The 26,078-nt window shown below is 41.0% G+C and overlaps 2 protein-coding genes and 1 long non-coding RNA gene across 21 annotated transcripts in view, besides 1 other annotated feature; all 3 read right to left on the minus strand.

Moving 5' to 3' along the window:
• LINC01599 (long intergenic non-protein coding RNA 1599) overlaps positions 1 to 10,204 on the minus strand; it is a 97,731-nt gene extending 87,527 nt beyond the window's left edge. The window contains exon 1 of the long non-coding RNA NR_131171.1: positions 10,158 to 10,204. This is a non-coding gene — a long non-coding RNA (long intergenic non-protein coding RNA 1599). The remainder of the gene's footprint in view (positions 1 to 10,157) is intronic.
• On the minus strand, positions 7,877 to 21,733 carry VCPKMT (valosin containing protein lysine methyltransferase). 9 transcript variants are annotated; one of them, XM_017021640.3, is made up of 6 exons: positions 21,448 to 21,733; positions 21,230 to 21,340; positions 21,000 to 21,072; positions 19,446 to 19,565; positions 17,776 to 17,880; positions 7,877 to 11,782 (listed from the first exon to the last, which is right to left on the minus strand). In XM_017021640.3, the coding sequence occupies exons 1-6, from the start codon at positions 21,711 to 21,713 to the stop codon at positions 11,729 to 11,731; spliced, it is 729 nt and encodes a 242-aa protein (XP_016877129.1). In that variant the 5' UTR covers positions 21,714 to 21,733; the 3' UTR covers positions 7,877 to 11,728. The 9 variants fall into 9 exon arrangements, 5 of the variants coding, with proteins under 5 accessions (XP_016877129.1, NP_078834.2, XP_005268117.1 ...); NR_049738.2 differs by lacking the exon at positions 7,877 to 11,782 and adding an exon at positions 13,798 to 14,874 and having other exon boundaries at positions 21,241 to 21,340; NM_024558.3 differs by lacking the exon at positions 7,877 to 11,782 and adding an exon at positions 13,798 to 14,874.
• Positions 21,670 to 21,729: an enhancer, noted in NCBI's record as "active region_8353". NCBI's record gives its function as "activates an Ori minimal core promoter by ATAC-STARR-seq in GM12878 lymphoblastoid cells {active_cell/tissue: GM12878}" and the evidence as "EXISTENCE:reporter gene assay evidence [ECO:0000049][PMID:35858748]".
• Positions 22,291 to 26,078, minus strand: part of SOS2 (SOS Ras/Rho guanine nucleotide exchange factor 2) — a 114,753-nt gene continuing 110,965 nt past the window's right edge. For all 11 annotated transcript variants that reach the window (XM_047431723.1, NM_001411020.1, NM_006939.4 and 8 more), the window contains 2 exons: positions 25,436 to 25,545; positions 22,291 to 24,014 (listed from right to left, as the gene is read on the minus strand). In XM_047431723.1, coding sequence (XP_047287679.1) covers positions 23,505 to 24,014; positions 25,436 to 25,545 — 620 coding nt within the window. In that variant the 3' untranslated portion in view covers positions 22,291 to 23,504. The remainder of the gene's footprint in view (positions 24,015 to 25,435; positions 25,546 to 26,078) is intronic.

Below are 26,078 nucleotides of genomic sequence, written 5' to 3' on the forward strand. Positions count from 1 at the left end.
TAAGTTCTAGGGTACATGTGCACAACGTGCAGGTTTGTTACATAAGTATACATGTGCCATGTTGGTGTGCTGCACCCATTAACTCATCGTTTAACATTAGGTATATCTCCTAATGCTATCCCTCCTCCCTCCCCCGACCCCACAACAGGACCCTGTGTGTTGTGTTCCCCTTCCTGTGTCCAAGTGTTATCATTGTTCAATTCCCACCTATGAGTGAGAACATGCGGTGTTTGGTTTTCTGCCCTTGCGATAGTTTGCTGAGAATGATGGTTTCCAGCTTCATCCATGTCCCTACAAAGGACATGAACTCATCCTTTTTTATGGCTGCATAGTATTCTATAGTGTATATGTGCCACATTTTCTTAATCTAGTCTATCATTGATGGACATTTGGGTTGGTTCCAAGTCTTTGCTATTGTGAATAGTGACCTGGCCAGTTTTAAAACTTGCTCTCCTGGCCAGGTGCAGTGGCTCATGCCTGTAATCTCAGCACTTTGGGAGGCTGAGGTAGGAGAATCGCTTGAGCCCAGGAGTTCAAGACTAGCCTAGGCAAAGTAGCAAGACCTCATTTTGTTGTTGTTGTTGTTGATTTGTTTGTTTTAATAAGTTTTAAAAAAGAAAAAAGGCCAGGCACAGTGGCTTACACCTGTAATCCCAGCACTTTAGGAGTCCGAGGCAGGTGGATAGGCCAAGGCAGGCAGATCACCTGAGGTCGGGAGTTCCAGACCAGCCTGATCAACATGCAGAAACTCTGTCTCTTCTAAAAATACAAAATTAGCTGGGCATGGTGGCACATGCCTGTGATCCCAGCTACTCAGAAGGCTGAGGTAGGAGAATCATTTGAACCCAGGAGGCGGAGGTTGCGGCAGTGAGCCGAGATTGCGCCATTGCACTCCAGCCTGGGCGACAAGACCGAAACTCTGTCTCAGAAAAAACGAAAAGAAAAAACAAAACAAACAAACAAAAAAACACTTGCTCTCCAGATGGCAAACCTCACTGCCCAAGTACCTCTCCTAATACATGTTGCAATTCTCCCTCCACTTCTCAGGAACCCCCATAATCATGGGGGTTAGAACCAAGCCCCAGAATCTACCTCCTTATGTAAGCTACTCATTTTCTCATCTCTTGAGTTATTCTCACTAAATAATGATCCCTTGATTGGGGGATGGAGAGGTGCAGGCTTGAACACTTTCTGGGTGCAAAGAAGTACATTTCCTCTTTTGTTACATTTAAATCAAACCACTCCCACAGCAGGTTTTTGTTTCCTCCCTTTTACTTTCTGATGAGTTTCATAACGCTTACTTTTGTAGTTTGATAAGATCTCCACAGTATGATCAGCAACCAACACTATTCTAGAAAGCTTCTAAATCAACTGTTAAGATGATCTGGTGGGTATTATGGACAAAATGCAAACTTAAAAAGCAGATTACTTTCTGGGAAGGTAATGATTGAGAAGGATCTTAAGAGTAGGGTTTAATGGGCTGAAAGGTTTGAATGCTCTACCAGTTAGGATCTGATCCACTGCAAGGGAGAGAAACCCAGCCCCAAACCAGCAGAACAGAGTTAACTAGGTGAGGTAACTGGGAAGTCCAGGAGCTGCGGTGGCTTTAGACATAGCTGGCTTCAGAGACTCAAACAGAATCATCGGAAAAACGTTCTAATTTCTCTGTTTGCTTCTAGACTCTGCTTTCCTCTATCTTGACTTTTACTCTTGAGCAGCTCAAAACTTACTTTATCCTTGGCACTAGCTACCCCAGAAAAGAAGGGCCTCTTATGCAGGGGGAATCCTGTGGGTTAGCCTCGGTCAGGAAACCCAAGTCTCTCCTGAACTTGGTGGGCTATTGGGAGTAGCATGATGAAAAGTCTGGAACCCCAGGTTAGGAGTACGCTCTGCCACCACCGCCTGCACAGATAAGTGTAGAGAGATATTGAAGGTGGGGAGACTATTAGAGGAGTGAGGCCCAACCTGAGGTGATGATGGCCGTGAAGATGGAAAGTGGGGGAAGACTGTGAGAACCCATCACAGATCAGTGTATGACACGCTGAGTTCATGTGAGGCAGAAGAAATTAGAAATGCTAAAAGAATGGTGATGCCATTAGTAAAACAAGAATATGAGGCAGAAGAGTCTATTTTTGCAGAAATTTTGCTAAGACATACTCTTGGTTGGGCAAGCAAAGGAAGACATCAGGCAGGCAGCTGAAGGGGAGAGGTCAGACTTAAGAGAGGGATCGGAGCTAGAGGTCTAGAGAGGGGGCCTCTACAATAAGCTTGTAGTTGGAATCATGAAAATTGCAAGATCTATGTGTGCAGAGGTGAGTGGTCAAAAGACAGAGCCCCAGGGAATTGTGAGTTAAGCAACAGAGAAGGAAAAGGAACGAAGGATGGTGACGGAGGAGCAACCAGACGCTGGGCGGAGAAAGTCAGACCTACTTAAGTCAAATAGGAGAAAAGTTCCAGTATCAAAAAGAAAAAGAAATAGATCCACATGTTCAACAATATTTCCAATATTGGTTCTATACTCATATTTTCCTCATTCCTTTTCATAAGTGAACTCACAATCAAACTAAGTCCAACGAGCAGCTATTGAGGCTACAAGATTTACTGCTTTCTGAATACCAGTGGCTTCCATCCTAAGTTGTATTCATCTGAGACCTGAGTTGCTTATCATTAGTAACAACATATTCATTTTGGGGTCTTCTCTCATTTTTTTTAGAACAAGGACCAGGTATTAAAACAGCTGCCCAAGTACCAAGGTGCAAAGATGGCACTGCTGCAGATAGCTAAGCTGCTAAGCAGGCAGCATCATTATGTTGACTTGGGGGCAGATGTATAAAATCTAATCCTGGCAGATGAAAGTCAGGTTGGAAGTCTCAGTGTATGAAATACAAAAATGGGAGCTATATGACCATCAACCTGTTTGAGAACTGACTGTCCCTGGAGTCAAGGCAGAAGATATTTCAGTATTTCACCTTTAAGTGTTCTGTTTTTTTCCAATAATTCCTTGAATTTTGGTACTTCCCAGGGCCTTAACCTGGGCTTTCCCCCAATCTATACATTTGGGGTGATCTATAAGACCTCAACTTGGCTGGGCACGGTGGCTCACGTCTGTAATCCCAGCACTTTGAGAGGCTGAGGCAGGTGGATGGCCTGAGGTCAGGAGTTCGAGACCAGCCCGGACAACATGGCGAAACCCCGTCTCTACTAAAAATACAAAAATTAGCCGGGTGTGGTGGCACGCGCCTGTAATCCCAGCTACTCAGGAGGGTGAGGCAGGAGAATCGCTTGAATCTGGGAGACAGAGGTTGCAGTAAGCCAAGATAGCACCACTGCACTCCAGCCTGGGCTACAGAATGAGACTCTGTCTTGCCAAAAAAAAAAAAAAAAAAAAAGAAAAGACATCATCTTTCTCAGTCCACCCTCTCTTCTGCCCCCAAACCTATATACGGTCATCCCTCAGTATCCATGGGGAATTGATTCCAGGACCACCCACAGATATCAAAATCCACAGATGTTCAAGTCCTTTGTATAAAATAGTGTAGTATTTGCATATAACCTATACACATCCTCCCATATAGCTTATTACTTTTTTATTGGACTGAATTTATTTTTTTATCTTCAGCTTTTAAATTCAGGGGTACATGTGCAGGATGTGCAGGTTTGTTGCATAGGTAAACGTGTGTCATGGTGGTTTGCTGCACAGATCATCCCATCACCTAGGTATTAAGCCCAGCATCCATTTGCTATGTGTTTGCCCTCCACACCCACCCCCTACCCCCATATAGTTTAAATCATCTCTAGACTACTTATAATACCTAATACAATGTAAATGTTATGTAAATAGTTGTTATACTGTCTTGTATAGGGAATAATGACAAGAAAAACTCCGTCTGTACATGTTCAGTACAGACACAACCATCTATTTTTTTTCCCGAATATTTTCAACCTGTGTTTGGTTGAAACCCATGGAACTCACATATACAGAGGACCGCTTGTGTTTAGCTGCCTATTACATACATGTAACCAGGGTCACAGTGTGTGGCCACTCAGGCTGGGTACAGCAAAGAGCAACATTGGAAGGGGACACCATTCACACTGTAGACATCATTATTGTTTTGAAGTTAAAACCAAAAATTAAAACAGTTGATTCCAAACTTACATGATTTATATACAGGACAATTTTCTGGCAAAGGACAGTAAAGTCTCTAGTTCTAATAAAATTAATGTTATTACAATTCTTTTCAAAATAAAAGTGTTTTAAAGAAAAGGGACTCTGACCTGCAGAAGGGCAGCATGAGGACCGTGGAGGCCTTGACCCCATCAGGATGCACCGCGGGCCCCTACACAACTTACTGTATCTGCCTTAGTCTAGCTCCACAGCAGTTCTCAGATCCCGTCCTCTTCATTCCTACTGCTACTACCAGAGTTCAGACCCCACTCCTCAACATCTCTTACCTGTTCATTCTTCCTTCCTGATCTCTTTGCCTCATGTCTTGCCCCTCTCCTGCCCACTCTCCAAATTTGCTGTCAGAATAATCTTTCTAAAATGATTTGGCCAAGTGGCTACCCTACTTAAAGTATTGAAATATCCTCTCATTGCCTCCAGAATCCATCTGCACTCCTGAATACGCCACATGGACTCTGCACGTCCTTGCCCTGCCCTCCTGCCTACCCATTAGTCATCTCCTACACATGCCCTATGCTCGAGCCACATCAAAACCACATTTGATGCTGTTGCATGTGTTTGCCTAGAATACCTGACAAGCTGTCCAGTGGCTTTCCATTCATCCTTCAAAAATCAGCTTAATGGTCCCTTCATGAAATCTTCCCTGACCAACTAAGGCAGAGGTGACCACACCCTCCTTTGCACTGCCGCTGTACCTAGCTTATGCCTTTATGATTGCATTTCTCTGAGTTGCAATTATGTTTTGCATATGCCTCTCATTACAGATGTGAGAGCTGCTTACGGGTATGGAATGCATCTTATTATTTGTCCCTAATATTTAAAAGAGTACTGATGGGTACCTCTGATACCTAGCACAGTGCCTGTCTGCTGAATTGAAGGAGTAAATAAATGTGTTGAATGTTGAGAAGAGTCATTGAGGGTAGATTTGAAAATGAGAGAAGGGAAGAGAAGTAAAATGTCTTGAGGATTTTAAGTTCCGGGATACATGTACGGGATGTGCAGGTTTGTTACATAGGTAAACATGTGTCATGGTGGTTTGCTGCACCCATCAACCCATCACCTAGGTATTAAGTCCAGCATGCATTAAGCTATTTATCCTGATGCTCTCCCTCCCCACTGTTGAGGATCTTTTATGTCAGGCGTTGTTCCAGACTCTTTACACATAGGTCCTCAGTTTTGGGTTAACTGTGGAGAAACTCTAACAGCAACAAGCCATATTTCATTTGCTGTCCACTTTACAGTATTTTGCAGAGTCTCAGTGAACTTCTTTGCTAAGTTCTGTTCCTGCCCTCTGTGGCCTGCACTAGTCTGCTGCTTTGGGACTTTCGTGTTTTTGAAAGGGGACTATTTCTTTGTTTTTGCTTTTGGTATTGCATTCTGCTGGGAAGTATCAAACCAGTGATGCCCCATGCCTCATTAAAGCCTTACGGGACTTTTTTTTTTTTTTTTTTTTTTGATAAGAGTAACCTCTCAATTATTTTCCCCTATGGCCTCTCTCTTCCTATGACAAAGGTAGGGTCTAAAAGACATGGTGAAGATGTCTGGTTGGAACGTAACGGTAAACAACAGGCACACTGCTAAACTTGGAATCCTTCCTAACAACTGAGGATTGTTTTTCCTGGACCACTTATGTGTCATTTACTTGGGATGGTTTCTTGTACACCTCTCTAGTTTGCAAGAGTTTACCAGTCTGGATTCTCAGAACAAACAGTTTTGGCTTAAGCTGAGGAGACTGCTTTCTTAAGTATGGTCTCCATACATTATCTAGTTTAACCATCACCACAATGTTAGCCAGTAGATATTCTCATTTTACAGAAAGGGAAAGTAACATGCAGAGTTTAACTTGCCCAAGGACATACAGGTAGATTAGGTGGTAATCAAGTGAGCTGTTTTCTCATAAAGCTTGGGAGCATAAAGGGAAGGCGATTGGATTTAGAACTGAACTGGAACTGTCTTCCAGGGCTAACTGGGAATATTGTTCCTACCAGCCAAACTATGCCTCTCCTGTTCTTTGGACTCTCAGGTTAACAAGCAGACATTTCACAGGGAACAAGAGTAACAGACTGACTGTGGGTGTCAGATACATGTTTGAGAGTGAAGAGTTTTGAACAACAGAATTTTTTAAAATATCCATCCACTGCAGTGGCTCACAGCTGTAATCCTGGCACTTTGAGAGGCCGAGGTAAGATGACTGCTTGAGCCCAGGAGTTCAAAACCAGCCTGGGCAACACAGTGAGACCCTGTCTCTACAAAAAGAAATATTTTTTTAATTAGCCAGGCATAGTGGTATGTTGCCTGTAGTCCCAGCTACTGGGAGGCTGAGGCAGGAGGACCACTTGAGCCCAGGAGGTCGAGACTGTAGTGAGCTATGATCATGCCACTGCACTCTAGCCTGGGCAACAGAGTGAAACACACTCTCAAAAAAAAAAAAAAAATCCTTGTAACAAGATTTAGAAAGAAAATAGTTATTTTAAAAGCACATTACTGTACCTACATTCATAAATGTCACTGAAATCCAAAGATATTCTCTGGTTAAACATTTATTATTTGTGGGAGTGTGAAACTTGTTTTTCCTGTTTTTAAGTTTTAAGAAGCCAGTCCTTTGTTCCATGTGAATTATATGCCATGAGATTATTTACACTCATTCTAAACACAAGTGTAAAGCTTCTCATCTAAGCTTCGTATAAAAAAAAACAGTAATTTGTGGCTGGGCGCGGTGGCTCATGCCTGTAATCCCGGCACTTTGGGAGGCCGAGGCGGGCGGATCACCTGAGGTTGGGAGATTGAGACCAGCCTGACCAACATGGAGAAACCCTGTCTCTACTAAAAATACAAAATTAGCTGGGAGTGGTGGCACATGCCTGTAATCCCAGCTACTAGGGAGGCTGAGGCAGGAGAATCACTTGAACCTGGGAGGCGGAGGTTGCGGTAAGCCAAGATTGCGCCATTGCACTCCAGCCTGGGCAACAAGAGCGAAACTCCATCTCAAAAAAAAAAAGAAAATAGTAATTTGTATATGTAGCACCTCAGTACATTGCTGTACTGTGCATGAAGCACAAGCAGGTTATCAGGACACATTCCTTAAAAGAACAAGGTTGAGTACTGAATGTAGATACATGAGATTGTTTGTACTGTATACCTAAAACTCTGGCAATGATTTGTCAAACAATCATGAACCAACACAAGCACCTGGAACTCACATCGTTAATGCCTGGACTTCAGCAGATTAACAAATCTGAGTTAAAGGTAACTTTTAAAAAAACTACTCAAGGCCAGGTGTGGTAGCTCATCCCTGCAATTTGGGAGGCCAAAGCAGGCAGATTGCTTGAGCTCAGGAGTTTGAGATCAGCCTAGGCAACATGGCCAAACCCCATCACTACAAAAAATATAAAACTGAGCCGGTCATGGTGGCTCGTGCCCGTAATCCCAGCTACTCAGGAGGCTGAAGTAGGAAGATTGCTTAAACCTGGGAGGTGGAGGTTGCTGTGAGCCAAGATTGCACCAACTACACTCCAGCCTGGGTGACAAGAGTGAGACTCTGTCTCAAACAAACAACAACAAAAAACCCAAAAGCATTTAACAGCACTGACCCATCAAAAAGCTGTCAGTGGTACCTCATTAGAACTAATAACCTGAAAGGAATTTGTTAACTACTCAAACGTTTAAGCCTATAAAAACTGCATCTAGGCCAGATCTTTTACAAACATTTTAATTTTGCTTTGCAAGGAAGAAATATCCTTGTTTTCAACCTGTGAAAATTAAAAAATGTGAATTAATTCAACAAAATAAGTTACTGTATTATAGGTAATGTATAAAGGTTTCTAAAAATGAAGACCACCTATTGAGTATTCATGACAATATTTTCCATTAATTGCAAACAGAAAGGCCTTGCAAGTTTAATATAACGCAGAAGCAGAAAGCAAGTTTGTCCAGCCCACTGCTCATGGGCCGCATATGGCCCAGGACATCTTTGAACGTGGACTAACACAAATTCGTAAACCCTCTTAAAACATTATAAGATTTTTTTGCAATTTTTTAAAAACTCATCAGCTATCACTAGTGTATTTTACGCATGGCCCAAAGGCAATTCTTCTCCTTCCAGTGTGGCCCAGGGAAGATTGCACACCCCTTCTGAAGTAAAGCCTATGTGCCACTTTACACTGGCTGATGGAGAAACAGACACAATCCAAGGTTTTGTCATTCTTGTCTGTTAGTAAAAGACATGGTCAGTTAGCCTGAGGAATTAGTTAAGTCCTGCATCCCACACACGCACTCATTACACAGTGAAAGATTATTTAGGCAAGAAACAACTGCTACAAACATATTTTAAAGTCACATTGCTCTTTTAGAGTTAATAAATATAAACTCTGAAAATATTGTTATGCAGATAGATCAAGTCTCAGACTTCAGAAAAATGACTTTCTGCTGTACTTTAATGGCCTGCTACCCATCTGGTCTCAGGTTTAGCAAAGAACCGTGGAAGGAGGAATTGAGTAAGGGTCCAGGGCGGTGGAATGTTAATCCTGGAGCTCCAGCCAGCAAACCCAGGCTCCCATATTTAGAAACGAGGATTTGCTCTGTCCCTATTGGCCTTCGAATGCTCGTGGCAGTTGCTTTCAAACTGTAAAAATGAACAGTGAACAAAAATTTTCTTCCCCGTATCTTCTTTATTTTTCTAAGATTGTTATTTGTTTAAATAACAGTACATGTTGTGTAACAATGTTCTCAACTTCCTCCCATCCCAGCTGCCATTCCCACCGTGACTGGGCAGCAATGTTTACATGCATCCTATACTCTCAAAAAGGTGCCCAGATTTCACACTGCAACAGATAAAACTGACTTGCATTATGCATATTTTCCAAGTGCCCACCTGTAATTCCACCCCAACTACGGTCACATTTATTGAACACTTACTATGTGCCTAGTACCTAAGTACATTACATGTATTTGACTAATTTAATCTCCACAGCAACCTATAAGATATTATGATCTTTACCTTACATATGAGGAAACTGAGGCACACAGAGTTTAAGTAACTTCAAGGTCACACAGCTAGTAAGTGGCAGCACTGGGATTCAAACCCAGATAATCTGGTCTCAGAGCCTCTGTGCTGACACTGTTTTCAGAATGCACGTGAGCAAAATATTATCATGGAGATAATCTGCTGTACCATATTTTAGGTTTATCATTTGCAAATGATAGCATCTTGTCATTAATAATCAATGACTTAGAATGTATCTCACAGTTGATAGGGACTCACTAGATATTCACAGAACTTCACCAACACATAAGAACTTCAATGTCTTGAACAACCCCAAATATCTAATGGTTTAAACTTTAACTGGTGAAAATGCCTTGAGAATTTATTGCTTTCCTACCCAATATTATGGAAAGTAAAAACTTAGCTTTTCCATTAATTTTCAGTAAGATATCGTTGCAACAGTTTTCTTTTTCTGTATTTCTATTAGAGTGAAGGTCTTTATGGTATGAAAACTGAATATTCTCCTCTAACAATGTTTGTTATCAATGAATCAAAACTCTTTCAAATCCTGATGTTTCCTAAGAAAAAAGAAAACCCAGAAGTCAAATACCTGGCCTGTGCCTACAGGACTGTGGGAACCAAAGACACAGCTTCAGCCTTCAGAAGTAAGAACTACCACTTACTCTATTGAAAAAAAAAAAAAAAACTGCTTTGAAAAACTAATTAAAATGAGAAGTTTTAAGTGTCTCAGATGTAAAATCATGATTATGTGAAAGGTACTTTCAAGGTGAATTTTAATTTTCAGAACGTCACTTGAATTAATTTAGCCTCTTAAATATCTGTCTTCTTTTCACAGAAGATATCAATAGCAGAGAAAACATTTTATGAATTGTAGTAACGTAGCTTTTTGAATGATATTCAAAAGGCATATCAGAAAGAAACAGAAAGATAAACCAAATACAATTTTACAAGAAAAAAACTTGTTTTACTTACCCTGTGTTATCTTCTGAAAGTAACTCAAAAGGTAGGCTTTTTTTTTTAATCTAATTTCGTTCACCTTTAAAATGTGATTGCATTTCAAAGTAGATTCTATTTTAACAACTTCCTTTCTAGAAAACATTTAAAGACAAAGTCAAGCAATGCCATCTACAGGTGGCCTTTAGAACAACAGATGTTTCTATAACCCATACTCTTCTTTAAAATACCTATAATCTGTCATATCATATTTTGCATCATTTAACAAGGAAATTTTCAAGAAAGGTAAGAAAAAATTAAAAGATATGCTGTGTATAAAAAAATTCCCACTAACATTCTGGATTAATAGTTCTTACTTTAAAATAACCTAGGCCAGGTGCAGTGGCTCACGCACATAATCCCAACACTTTGGGAGGCTGAGGAGGGTGGATTGCTTGAGGTCAGGAGCTCCAGACCAGCTTGACCAACATGGTGAAACCCCATCTCTACTAAAAATACAAAAATTAGCTGGGTGTGGTGGCAGGTGCCTGTAATCCCAACTATTTCAGAGGCTGAGGCAGGAGAATCGCTTGAACCTGGGAGGCGGAGGTTGCAGTGAGCCAAGATCACACCATTGCACTCCAGCCTGGGTGACAGAGTGAGAGTCCGTCTCGAAACAAAACAAAACAACAAAAAACTAATTTCATTTCCAACTTCACCAAACATATGATCCATGGACCCTTGGTTATAAACTGTGGCAGATTAAAATGCAAAGTTATGCAACCTCAAAGATGTTTAAAGTTATAACTGGTGTACAGAAGAGACTCAAGTCATTGGAGACTGGACCTGCAACAATTTTTAACTGTTGAATCCCCCTTCCTTCTTGAGTAGCATCACCTTTGCCTTCTTGGCCAGATTCTCTAATTTTCAGATTATATTTATAGTCTATTTCCATTTCCAAAGTTCAGTCCTGTTTATTTTAAAACCTCCTATTTCATACAAGGTTCCACATCGGATTCCAAGTGGTTTTTTGTCCGTATGTACTAGGGGCCCACTCTATTCACAGATGGTTTGCTTTTTATATACTTTCTTCTTTCTTTGCTCTCTTCTCCTTGGGAAGTAGATGCTAAACGGATAAAAGAGGTTTCCTTGTTGCAGTGGTTCTCAATTTAAGGCAAACATTAAGACCATCTGGAACCCCTTAACAAAACTACTATGCCTCTGATTAAACTGGACTGGGATAGGGCCTGAACATGGGTTTTGTGTGCTTTTAATTTTCCACGTGCAGCCTGGTTTGAGAAACACTGCCTTACTATGGGGTTGCAACCCTTTCCCTAATTGGCTATAACTGCATTCTGATAAGTAGTTTCCGAGCTCCATTGTGCAGAGGCAACCCACACTTGCCCACAGGCCAAGGCATTGGCAGTCCCTTGGGATTTGGGAATTAGCTGTGTCCTGGCTGAGCCCCAGCTAGTGGCATCACCTTATCCATTGCACTTGCCTTTTAAACCACGTCGTCCCCTCCTTCATGTTGTTGCAGAAGTCTTCTAACCCTCAATTCATGCATCATTTCTCAGGCTGGCAGAGTGCATCTTCAATACCCCTCAGCCTTACAGTTCCCACATCACTCCTCTAATTCTGTCTCCATGCTTCGGAATCTGCTGCTGGTGGGTAAACACAAATCCAGCCAGAAAGAGAAATACTGGTCTCCCATACTTGCAAACATCTTGAATCTCTAGTTACTTCCTCAGGCCTTCCTCCTGCGGTTTTGTTTTTTTGAGATAGGGTCTCACTGTCACCCAGGCTGGAGTGCAGTGGTGCAATCATGGCTCACTGCAGTCTCAACCTCCCTGGGCTCAGATGAACCTCCCACATCAGCCTCCCTAGTATGGATGGGACTACAGGTGTACACCACCACACCCAAGTAATTTTTTGTATGTTTTGTAGAAACAGGGTCTTGCTATGTTGCCCAGCCTGGTCTCAAGCTCCTGGGCTCAAGTGATCTGCCTGCCTTGGCCTCCCAAAGTGCTGGGATTACAGGCATGAGCCACCTCACCCAGCCTCCTCCTGTGGTTTGTGAGTGCAGGTACAACTTGTTATCTCTCCACATTCGAAAGCCCAAAAGACTAAATTACATTCCCTAACAATGGACTCCTCCGAAAGGAGACCTCTTCCAGAGCTCCCCAGCTGTCTGTGGAATAGTAGTTGGTGATGGAGCATGTTCTCTGAACTGGCCACCTTCAGTAAGCCCTGTAGCATTCACTGGTCCTAACCATCAGTGGTCGAATCTTAGAATGTGAGGATTGGCACCCTGACTTCAGTTTTGGCCTTATTCCAGAACAAGAAAGATATCCTATTTGACTTTTTTTTTTTTTGAGACGGAGTCTTGCTCTGTCACCCAGGCTGGAGTGCAGTGGCTCCATCTCAGCTCACTGTAGCCTCCACCTCCAGGGTTCAAGCTATTCTCCTGCCTCAGCCTCCCAAGTAGCTGGGATTACAGTGCACGCCACCATGCCAGGCTAATTTTTGTATTTTTAGTAGAGACAGGGTTTCACCATGTTGGCCAGGCTGGTCTCCAACTCCCGACCTCAGGAGATCCGTCTGCCTCGGCATACAGGCGTGAGCCACCGCGCGTGGGGCCTATTTGACTTTGAATTACAAATTTCCTCTACAGTCAGTACTTAGGTGAGTTCTCCAGAAGCAGAGAGGAATGTATGCAAATGATTTATCAAGGTTAAGTAAAGGAATGGGAATAGCCGAACAGGAAGGGGGAGGAAGTCAAGCAAGAGTGTGATTTTGGCAAAGCTGCACAGAGGCCGACTTCAGCCCGACTCCTCCAGGAAATTAGTGAAGTTTCATTTTTCTGAACTAAAAGAGCTGGGTTTTCATACAGTAAAATCAAGGGGGACTTCAGGCCAAAGACCCACAGATAGTGTGTGTTAAAAGAGGGCCAGGTGCAGTGGCTCATGGCTAGTAATCCCAGCACTTTCCGGGGCTAAGGAGGGTGGATCACTTGGCTCCAGGAATTTGAGACCAGTCTGGGCAACATGGTGAAACCCTGACTCTACAAAAAATACAACAAAGCTAGCCAGCTGTGGTGGCGCACCTGTAGTTCCAGCTACTAAGGAGGGTGAGGTAGGAGGATCACCCAAGCCTGGGAAGAGTAGGTTGCAGTGAGCCAAGATTGTGCCACTACTGCACTCCAGCCTGGGCAACAGAACAAAACCCTGTCTCAAAAAAAAAAAAAAAAAAAGAGAAAGCAGGAGGGCATAAAAACTGGAGGGTGAAAAGACATTTAAGGAACCTGGGTGGACTATTATAGTCAAGGTCAAACTTATTTTTACAAATTTCATGTTATAAAACAAGCTAAAAAGTGGTCATTTGTCCTAAGACATCATTAATAACAGCTAGCACTATCTGTACCTCACAAAGCACCACAGATTTAGGTTACACTGCCTTGCAAACTGCTTAATGAAATGCTAAGGACAGTATGAACAAAGTATCTTGGCGGGGGGGAAACCAGCAAAGGAAACTTTTAAGACTGAAATAAACCTGAAAGGAATGAACTGATTTCTTGACTTGTATCCTTAATGTCTCTAAATAGGGCTGCTTTTGCTCCTGTTAACTGTTTAGATGTTCACTTTCTTCAAAGGTATTTCTGAAATTCACAGTCACAAGGTCTCAAAAACAATGTTTATTTTAACACATAAAATGTACCATCTAGCACCAATGCCTATAAATACCAGAATTCCATCCGGTTACTACTCTTTGGAACAAGTATGATTAAAGTCCTTGACAGATTATTGTATATGAGCGAATGGCTTCATAACATAAAACAGAGAGACACAGAACAGAAATTCATTTGGTATATACATATAGAACTACATTTGTAGTTATTCAAAAACCTTTCACTGCTTCATGTAAACAATACCAGTATTTTTAAGCCAGATTTTCCTGGAACATATACATAAAGTGCATGAGCCACGTAAGTGCATAAGCCTGAAACTGGTCTTTCTATTCTCACTCCATGCTCAAATGAAAAATCTGTAAAGATATCTTTTGTTCCTCCAATCTTCTGATTTGTCTTCTTAGCAACTCATTACAGTACAATTTACTGATTAAATCACATAGATATGTATGGTGGAGGAAAAGAAAACTTTGGCTAATATAAGTATACAAGACAATATCTCAGTTCTTTTTAAAATTAAAAGAACATTTCAGTATTAAAGATATTTTAAAAGAAATGAAGTGGAAAATACAAATGATAAATATTGTATAATTATGTACAAAATGAAAACCTTTTAAACTCTGAAGACAAACTAAAATTTACTAGTTTGAATTTAAAACATTATTATATAATAGCAGATAGTTCTCTTCAGAAATTTATCTCTAGCTTCCTGTAAAAGGTCCAGTCAAATCATGTTGGCTGTTTTTGGCAGATTTCAGCCTCGCCTCAATACCAATTTTTATTTGAATAACTGATTCCCAACATTTAAGAAGAACTTGATGCTGAACTAAGTAACCTAAGCTGGATTCAGGGCCATTGGCAGGCAGGCAGGCAAGCAGGAATTTTTCGTATTGCAGACAGCCCCTGGTGGTCATCATCTATACATCGGATCTCTAAGGACGTGCCGGAAAAAAAAATCTGTGAACACAATCTTCCCATGCTGTATTCACATGCTCTATTCACATCTTTAGTTTACCCAGGTTGTTAGAGCCTTGGGTAAGATGATTAAAGGCTTCACGATGGAAATTTCTATAACAAAAAAAAAGGAAACTTAAAAGATTGATTTACCACAAACTATTTACTGGGTATTTAATAATGCCTAATATGCCTCATAATGCCTAGTATGCCTAGTATAACAGTGGCTACATGCAATTCAAGTGAACAACCATGCATGTTTATAGATGGTTCTTTGCTGACACCTAACAAGCAACTGAAGAAAGAACAGATGCATTGGACATTATCAAAATTAAAATATATGTGCTTCAAAAGACACAACATAGGCCGGGTGTGGTGGCTCACACCTGTAATCCCAGCACTTTGGGAGGCTGAGGTGGCAGAGCACTTGAGGCCAGGAGTTCGACACAAGCCTGGCCAACCTAGTGAAACCCAATCTCTACTAAAAATACAAAAAAATTAGCTGGGCGTCGTGGCACATGCCTTTAGTCCTAGCTACTTGGGAGGCTCACACAGGAGAATCACTTGAACCTGGGAGGCAGAGGTTGCACTGAGCCAAGATCATGCCACTGCACTCCAGACTGGGTGACAGTGCGAGACTCTGTCTCAAAAGAAAAATAAGAAAATAATAAATTAAGAAAATACAAGACACACTATTGAGAAAATGAAAAGACAACCCACAGAATGGGAGAAAATATTCACAAATAATGCATCTGTAAGTGTTTAGTATTCAGAATGTATAAGGAACTCTCACAACTCAAAGTAAAAAGACAAATAAGTCAATCTGAAAATGGGCCAAGCATTTCTTCTAAATACAGAAAAGATACCCAACATCATTAGTCATTAGAGAAATGAAAACCACAGTTTAGAGACTATCTCATACCCAGTGAGATGGGTATAATTAACAAATGTTGGTAAAAATGTGGAGAAAACTGGAACCCTTATACACTGCTAGTGAGAACGTATAATGGTATGGTAGATTAGGAACACAGTTTGGCAAGTCTTCAAAAAGTTAAACAGAGTTCCCATATAACCTTGCAGTTCTCCTCTAGGTATATACTCAAGAGGTCTGAAAACATGTTCACACAAAAATTTGTAGATGAACGTCCATAGCAGCATTATTCATCTCATCAATGGATGGATAAGGTGTGGTACAGCCACATAAAGGAATATTATTCAGCCACAAAAAGGAGTTAAGTGCTAATGTGTGCTACAATGTAGATAAGGCTCGAGAATACTGTGCTGAGTGAAAGAAGACAGTCACAAGAGGCCACACAGTATGTGACTTGTTACATATGACATGTGCAGAATAGGCAAATCCATAGAGATTAGTGGCTGCCAGCAGCTGGGGACGGGGGTAACAGGGAGTGACTGCTAATGGGTAAGAGGCTTCTCTGGGGGGTGAAATCATTAAAAATTAGAAAGTGGTAATTTACACAACTATGTGAATATACTAAAAACCACCAAATTGTACACCTTAAAAGCGTGAATTTTATGGTATGTGAGTTACATCAACTAAAAAATAAGAGTTTTTTTTTTTGGCCGAAAAAAAAAAAAAAGCCTCTATATTTAGGAAACACAAAATCTTTCTGCCTCCAAAAAATTCTACTTTTAAAACTGCACAACAGCTTCAGTTAACACTAGATCCCTTAAAGCACAAAACAGTTTTTTTTGTATCTGTGGCACCATGCCACATAAATGTTAATCTGAATAATCCCGCTGCTGCCTTTTTACTTAGATTTAGTCCTAACACCTACTTCTGTTCCCTAAGTTTTATTTGCTTTTGACTAGAATTCATATAATCAGAAAACTTTACCACAAACATAATCAAAGCAAAGATGATAGAAAAAGTGTGGGCTTATTGAATCTAGCATCCTTAATTCATAAAACTAATCATCTCCCTGCCTTACACTAGTCACATATACCAAAGGTGCTGGAAATACAAAAATAGATGAAAGGCCAGGCGCAGCAGCTCACACCTGTAATCCCAACAATTTGGGAGGCCGAGGTGGGCAGGTCACTGGAGTCCAGGAGTGCAAAATCAGCCTGGACAACATGGCAAAACCCTGTCTCAACAACAACAAAAAAAATACAAAAATTAGCTGGGCATGGTGGTGCATGCCTATGGTCCCAGGTACTCAGGAGGCTGAGGTGGGAGGATCACTTCTTGAGCCTGCAAGGCAGAGGCTGCAGCAAGCCGAGATTGCACCACTGTACTCCAGCCTGGATGACAGAGTGAGACCCTATTTCAAAAAAAAAAAAGGATGAAGTACAATTCTTCCCTCTTTCTACAGGCTCAAACCCTAGGTGTCACTGAGGCAACCTGCATAAAATGTGATTGTTATACAGGGTAAAACATGCACCAAGAAGCGGGAAAATACATAAATTCTACTTAATTGAGTGCATTTATCTTTTATGGACTCATCTGCCTTGTTGTATTTCATTTCCTGTAAACAATTTTTAATAAGGAAAAGTTCACAAAGGTAAGAGCAGGCATTTTAAAATCTCACAGAGATAAAAGAAACTTATAAATAGCTAATAACTTGTCTGAGGTAATACCCAATTATAGAGCTATACAATTTACGCCTATGGAGAAGCTGGAAAAGGCCTTTAAAAGCGAAGCCTGGCCAGGTATGGTGGCTGATGCCTGTAATCTCAGAACTTTGGGAGGCCGAAGTGGGCGGATCACTTGAGCCCAGGAGTTCGACACCAGTCTAGGCAACACGGTGAAACGTGTCTCTACTTAAAAAATACGAGAAAAAAAAAAAAAAAAAAAAAAAAAGCCTGGCTTTAGAGCAAAAACCCAAGGCAAGATAGATTAAATTATCTTGACAATGAAGTTACTGCCTGAGTCCAGTGAATCATTAGAGCTGTTTCTCCACATCAAAATCAACGCCCATACCACACATATGCCCTGAAATAGTGTCCAGCTGATGAAACCTCCTTGGAGAATGAAGAACTGAGAATGTTATTTACCGATTTTTTCTTTCTGATGTATATAATATGAATATCTTCACTTCGATACTCTTCATCATGTTTTTCCAAAGGAATTTTTTCAAAGTCAAAATCTAGCTGAAGGAGCTATAAATTTAAAAGAGACATACTTCAAATTCAATAATATGAACTGACCTGTGGGTGACAGAAGTCAGAATGCTGGTTACTTTTTTTTTGAGAGTCTCACTCTGTCACCCAGGCTGGAGTGCAGTGGTGCGATCTTGGCTCACTGCAACCTCCACCTCCCTGGGTTCAAGTGATTCTCCTGCCTCAGCCTCCTGAGTAGCTGGGATTACAGGCAAACGACACCACACCCAGCTAATTTTTGTATTTTTAGTAAAGAAAGGGTTTCACCATGTTGACCAGGCTGGTCTCGAACTCCTGACCTCATGATCTGCCCATCTCGGCCTCCCAAAGTGCTGGGATTACAGGCGTGAGCCACCGCGCCTGGTCAGTGGTTACCTTTTGAGTATTGCCTGGGAAAGGGCAGTGTGCAAACCTTCCAAGATCCTGAAAATGTCCTCTATCTTTATGTTGGTAAGTAGTTACTTGGGTGTATACATATGAAAAATTAAGCTCAGCACTTGACTGATACATATGCATTTTACATATGCTTTACCCCAATAAAAGCTGTTTAACAGTACGAAATTTTCATTATGCATCATTTCAAAAGTTCATGAACATTTTTCATATTCAAGAAAAACATGAAAATAAACAAACATTTTAGTATTTGTTACCTGAGGCAGTCATATACCTGCTTTCTCATTAAACCAAAGTAGTCCTTCCAGCAGACAAAACTGCAGGCCTATATAGATGTACCCTCAAAAGGAGTCACTCACAATGTGATAGATTTGTGCCCATATAAGGGTTTGGGTGATCACTAGGGGAAGAAGAGTGACAGATACATAAAACCCTATATACTATATTTTGCAACTTCCTGTAAGTCTTTTCTAACTATTTCAGACAAAAAGTTTAAAAAACAAAAAAAAAGACCCTAAAAATAGACAGGTATCTAGGTTGGAGGTTTCATAAATATGTAGAGAAAAACACAGAAGTAAAAACTTATCACTTGGCAACATGGGAAAACCCCATCTCTACAAAAAAATACAAAAAGTTAGCCGGGTGTGGTGGTACATGCCTATAGTCCCACTTACTTGGGGGCGGGGGGGGGGGGGGGTGACACTGAGGCAGGAGGATCACTTGAGCCCAGGAGGTTGAGGATGCAGTGAGCCCTGACTGTGCCACTGCACTCCGGCATGGGCTACAGGGTGAAACCCTGTCTCAAAACAAAAACAACTTATCACCTGCACATTTCTATCACGTATTCTCCAAAGGTAATACATACATCATTGAGATGTTCCCCAAAGGCAGCATCATGTTTAATAAACACTGAAAACTGTTCTTAAAAAGGAGTGGCACCCGTATTAACATTCTTCTGTAGCCATAGATCAACTAATTAGAAATGAAATAAAGTATCAGAAAAGATGAAAAAGGGGAGCTTCGTAGAATCATGGGCTGTGAAGATCCTTTCCTCAGCTTCACACAAACAGCATGTTTTCCCCACCCAAAATTACCATAATATACTTGAAGAGTCACATACAGCCCCCCTGAAGGGAAATCACTACAAAGATAATAGAGTACTTAATACTTACCTCAAAATATTTTTTCTCAATTTCTGGATTTTTCCCCATTGTTCGTTGTTCATAACAACATATAATACAAGTTTCAAATCCGCTGATATCTTTTAGAGTTTTCAGCAATGGCTCCAAAGACTATTTAAAAAAGAATATATTTTTTGTTTTTGATTTAAAAATTTTTCTACTCTAAAAGTAGGTTGAGGAGGTACAGGGGTATTTATAGCTCCCCTACAATTTATCCATCTTTGAATCAATCCAACAAAGCACATGTAATTAAAGCTCTAGGCTAGGTGCAGTGGCTCACACCTGTAATATCAACACTTTGGAAGGCAGAGGTGGAAAGATCGCTTGAAAGCAGGAGTTGAAGACCAGCCTGGAGAATACAGCGAGAGACAAACCACCCCCCGCAACACCTTACAAAAAATTTAAAAATTAGCCAGCATGCTGGTGCACACCTATAGTCCCAGCTATTGAGGAGGCTGAATGGGAGGATTACTTGAGCCTCAGGAGCTCGAGGTTACAGTGAGCTATGATCACTCCACTGCACTACAACATGTGTGACAGAGCAAGACCCCTATCTTAAAACAAAAACAAACAAACAAAAACCCCTCTGTAACTAATGATTGGGTAAGCTCCTGTTAACTAAACCATGTACTGATTTTGGTTTCCAGAAAAAGGATTCAGATGACTGCATTTTGGAGTTCTCATGGGAAACAAATGGAATCAACCTTACTCTTAAAAGTTTAATTTTATTTAATCTAATTTGGGATTTAAATAATCAACGATTTCCCTACAAAAGTTAAATCTGACCCTAACTTGGTTCAATGCTAATTATTTTTAAAATAATCGATGCCCACAACACTATACAAACTGATGTTTTTTTTTTTTTTTTTTTTTTTTGAGACAGAGTTTTGCTCTTGTTGCCCAGGCTGGAATGCAATGGCATGATTTCGGCTCACTGCAACCTCCGCCTCCCAGGTTCAAGCGATTCTCCTGCCTCAGACTCCCAAATAGCTAGGATTACAGACATGCACCACCACGCCTGGCTAATTTTGTATTTTTAGTAGAGACAGGGTTTTGCCATGTAGGTCAGGCTGGTCTCGAACTCCCGACCTCAGGTGAGCCACCTGCCTTGACCTCCCAAGTGTTGGGATTACAGGCGTGAGCCACCGCGCCCGGCCCAAACTGGTATTTAAAGAAAAGAACAATGAATTATTTATAACTTAATTCTCAATGTCATGGTTAACATGTTCCGTGGGAACAACCAAGGGAAAAAGAGAGGATTTTGGCTTTTCATAACATCCAATTGGCAAAATCCTTTAAAATTTTTACAGAAGCCTCTAGTAAAATGCATATAACACTTTTCTCAACATGCTTCACCAGGTCGGTATGATAATGATGAGCGTATATACATATGGTCCCTGGTGACTTTTATCTTCTCTTTACTGCATCAACTATAAGGCAAATCCCGGATTCAAAGATGTTAAAATGTGAAGAAACGTGTGCTTTAGAATTCATGGAATAAGGTTCATCTTCTAAGTGAAGAGACTTCGCTCACTGGATACTTACCTCTTCATAGTATATGCAGTCGGCCATCAGTATGAAGTCGGGTGGAGAAGGAAAGCCTTCTATTTCTTCCCCCCTTAAAAATGCCAAACAAATATTTCAATTGTTTTAATAATTCAAAATACTCTTGTTTTATAAAGAACCGGAAAGTCCCCTTCCATCCTTTTAATGAAACGCAATTCAAAACAAACTACAAATCAATATCTTAAAACAAGCTGAAAGGCCATACAAACCATTTCAGTACCTTGGCTTGAACAGAACCAGTGACAAGATGCTTGTTCATATTAATATTCATCTTCAGCAAGTCTTGCAATTCCTCAAGATCGGTGACTACAACATCAGCCCTATAAAATAACGTCGACTGAGGTGTAGGCACAGGGGGGAAAGCCTGTAATCCGGATTTCCCCAGCAAGAAGGCGCCCCCACATCCCGCCCGCCCGCCAGCTCTTACCCGAGGGTAGCAGCCATGAGCCCCACGGCCCCGGTGCCCGAACCCAGCTCCAGCACCGACCGCCGGCTCAGCGCGTGGGCCCCGTCGCCAGAAAACTCGGGCGTTTCCAGGTATTTAGAAAGGACAATGGCAGCGTCCCACACAACGCAACCCACGCCACCGGAGCTATACTGCTGTAGTCGTAGCACTGTACCATCCCGCTTCTCCAAAACTCGCACAAAGCTCCGCAGTGGGTCCTCCAGCGAGGACTCCAGCGTATCCGCCATTGCGCCCGGCAACAGAAAGCGGCGCGCGCAGGGACGTCACATCAACGCGCACCGCCCCGCCCTGCGGCTCCGCCCCCTGCCCGCCGCTGAGTTGGCGACGCAGCGCGCGCGAGTTAACAAAGCCCGGAAGGCAGCGTTACCTGGGCGGGGCCGAGCGTGGGGCCCCTGCTTACCCGACGCGCTTGGCAGCCTCCCTCTACCCTAAATCACACGTTTGGCTTAACGAAGAGGCCGTTTAAATCACTTTCCCAGACAAAACTATTATAATCTGCTCTTTAAAAAACAAAGCCAACCTCAGAGTTTACCAAGTTGGACACTTGATTTACATAGTAGTTACAAGGCTTAAATGCAATCAGCTTCCAAGATCCTACCAAAGATGGCTATAATCTTACAATCTTCCTTTTCAAGTTCCTAGTATGCTCCTAGTTTTTTGTATGAATTCATAAAAGTGGTTGCTAGAAGCCTGCAGCTCACATTTAACAGTGAAGAAAAAATTGTGTGTGTGTGTGTGTGTGTCTATAGGACTCAACAATCTCCCCCTTTGTTCCTTATAATGAAAACACATATTTTAAAAGTCTTTTAAAAATTAAGACTGGGGTGATTTATTAATCTTGTTAAGAACTCTGATACAAAGCACAGTAAAAGGCCACAAACCAGTAAATAAACAACGTGGCTTTTGGCTACTTTACAACTGCTGCTACAGCACTATCAGCAAAACACTCTATCACTTTGAACGAAGGCATCCAAATGGCAAATAAAAGCTTTACTCACTTATCTGATTAAAATGTTTAATAAAGCTTTAAGTATTTGCTGGTTTAAATATTACCAATCTAAAAAATATATTTAAAAAAAATTTCAGTTAACACGAGATTTATAGAGAAAGTTACTAGGTCTTGAAGGCAAGGCAGTTGGTTCCTATGCCATAGAATTTTTTTTGAATTTATGAATTAGTAAAGTAGCAGATTGTATTATAGGCCTCAAGTCACTTAAATTTATATAGGTTATTAGCAGTATCTTTAAATATACAATATAAACAAAACTGTACATACATGGCATATTAACTGTTTTCCATAACAATAGGCAATTCATTAGCTAAAGACGTCATAGTCTGCAAAAACAAAAGGCACATCTGAATGAGATACATGCCCTTTTTCCCTCCATCATTGGGTTATGTAGTCTTTGTTTACATTTTGACAAAATAATAAACACTTACAGTGCCATTCTATTATTTTCATCCTACTTTTCATTTTTGTCTTCAGCAGCAAATACCGGCATTTAAGACATGGCATTAAAGAGTTTAAGAACAGTTGGTGTTATTCACAATTCTCCTAGATGTAAAAACTAGAAGTAAAAACTAGAAGATGGTCAAAGAGGTTTAAAAATCAGTAACACCATATACCCCTCCCATATTTGTGTAAATTCACTGCCTTAAAAAGGCATCTATTACTCAAATTTGAAAAATTTCACAAAAGCACTATCCCTTTTCAGTGCAATCATGTCACTTTAAACCATATTTTTGCAGAGTTTACAGTGCAAATATAAATTCTTTATACTGGCCTTTTGGCAGCACTGAGGATCCAAGACAAGGCAATGCTACTGATCACCTGAGGATAATGGTGAAGGACTTTTGTATTTTTATTTTTCCAATTCTTAAAAGCTTATTTGATCAGTAGCATTTTTGTAAGAGCATTATTTGTAAAAAGTACTAAAATACTATGTCTTTTTTTGAATAAATTAAAAAAAAAACTTTACAAATACCATTCCAGTGTCAATGACTACATATGGCTAAGGTCATTGGGGAGTTTCTGCATTTTCTAGCAAAGGCAGTCTGTACAATGGGGGGTGCGAAAGCTCCCGTTTGTAAGTCTTTGGTGGCAGTTTTGGCAGATGAGGGCTTGAATTCTGCCTTGGTGGAACAGGGGGAGCTGGAGGATGAGCAAGATTATTCTGACTAGAACTGAGCACATAGCATCGACGCGGTACCCTTGGAGAGGGTGTGCTAGGAGGAGTGCTTGGCGAATTTGGACACGTACTAATGTCTCTGAGCCAGTCTGAATCTCTGTGAAGATGCCCCAGTGGAGGTGGCTGAAGATTAAATGGACAGTTTATAAAGTGTTCTGGAGGCCGAAGGGGAACTGGTGGAGGGGTATCAGGAAGAGGATCTCTTGGTGGTGGCGGAGGTGGACTATGCAGAGGCCCATCAAATGCACCAGTAGGAACAGGAACTCTGGGTTTTACCTTTGGAGGAGGAGGCTGTCTCGGTGGAATAGCAGGAGGATCATCATCAGATTTCATATTTCCCTCAAAAAAAAAAGTAATTAAATTATACCTCTATTCTGAAAAATTAAAAAAAAAAATTTTTAAGTCTGAAAAATTCTTACTTGTCAAGTTAAATTCAGAGGCTCAAAATAAACTAATCTGGGTTAATTATCAGATTATGAGTACTCCTAGATTAATTCAGGGCTGGGTTTAATATTTTTATATATGAGATGTTTTAATTTAAGTCTTAGGTCCTAACTCTTTATCTTGCTTTGTGTATACATTTCAGAAATTTATGTATTTTAATTATAATAGTAGGTAAGTGACAATAATTTATTGCTTTATAGACATGAAAGGACATGATGTCTAGAGGACTTTAATGTCTAGCTTCTGCTTACTGGGCATCTACTGCTACTTTCTCCAGTGAGGCTTAGAGCAGTAGATCTCAAAGTGTGATCCAGAGACCAACAACATCAGCATCAGTAGGGAACTTGTTAGAAAAGCAAATTCTTGGGCCCCATCCTAGACTACTGAATCAGAAACTCTGGAGGTGTGGCTCCACAGTCTGATTTTACCAAGCCTTTCAGGTAATTCTGATGCACCCTTAAAATTTTGAGAAGCATTAGTTGAAAGTTTGAAGAATACTTGGAATACTACTGAAGTTTTTTTCCACCTGTACCAGAAAGAAAATGTACTTCCAGCCTCTTTTTTATTTTTTTATTTTTATTTTTAGTTTTTGAGACAGAGTCTTGCTCTGTCGCCCAGGCTGGAGTGCAATGGTGCGATCTTGGCTCACTGCAACCTACCTTCACCTCCCAGGTTCAAGTGATTCTCCTGCCTTAGCCTCTTGAGTAGCTGGGATTACAGGTGCCCGCCACCATGCCCGGCTAATTTTTGTATTTTTAGTAGAGACAGGGTTTCACCATATTGGCCAGGCTGGTCTTGAACTCCTGACTTCAGATGATCTGCCTGCCTCAGCCTCCCAACCAGCCTTTTTTTTTTTTTTTTTTTTTTTTGAGACAAGAGTTTTGCAATTGTTGCCCAGACTGGAGTGCAGTGGCACGATCCTGGCTCACTGCAACCTCCAACTCCCAGGTTCAAGCGCTTCTCCTGCCTCAGCCTCCCCAGTAGCTGGAATCACAGGCACCCGCCACCACACCCAGCTAATTTTTTGTATTTTTAGTAGAGATGGGGTTTCATCATGTTGACCAGGCTGGTCTCGAACTCCTGATCTCAGGTGATCTACCCGCCTGGCATGAGCCACTGCGCCCGGCCCAGCCTCTTATTTAGAAAAGGTTTTTATAAGGATTAAACAACTAAAAGTATTTTTCAAATATAACAACCCAAATGCTGAAAAACCATAAATGGTAGCCAAAGTATAATTCACAGACTCTTTATAACACTAGGCATTATTTTGAAGATTCACAACTTTGAATAAGTTGGAGTAAAGTCCTGTTGATTACCTTGGAATTTGAAGCATCATGATCAAACTTTTTTCGAGGAGGAAGAGGAGGAGGAATCAGGGGCTCTTCACTTAGTTTATGTAAACTACCACATGAACTAAAGAAAGACTCTGGGGGAGAAAAAGACTAGTTTAACCACAATTCACAGTATAAGATAAACCTTTATCACAATTTGTGATCGATACTTCTACCATGGCATTTGTCAGACTGTATCAACTATTGGTTTATCTATCTTCCCCCATTAAATTGTAAGCTTTCTGCAGGGAGTGTGTATTTATTTCTGTGTCTCTAGCACCAACCATAGTGCCTGGGGCATGATGGGTACTTCAGCTAAATGAAGGTGTACTATTTAATTATGATTAATGAGATTCTGCTCCCTGAAAAGCCTTTCACAAATCAAAACAAAACATGTCTAAATACACTGTAGTAACTTCCAAAGAAAGACCATCCTAATCAGAGACCTTTTTTTTTTTTTTTTTTTTTGAGACGGAGTCCCACTCTGTCGCCTAGGCTGGAGTGCAATGGCACGATCTCGGCTCACTGCAACCTCCGCCTCCCGGGTTCAAGCAATTCTCCTGCCTCAGCCTCCTGAGTAGCTGGGATTACAGGTACCCACTACCACCCCCAGCTAATTTTTGTATTT

The sequence above is a fragment of the Homo sapiens genome, chromosome 14 (assembly GCF_000001405.40).
Source record: "Homo sapiens chromosome 14, GRCh38.p14 Primary Assembly".
NCBI classification, from domain to species: Eukaryota; Metazoa; Chordata; class Mammalia; order Primates; family Hominidae; genus Homo; species Homo sapiens.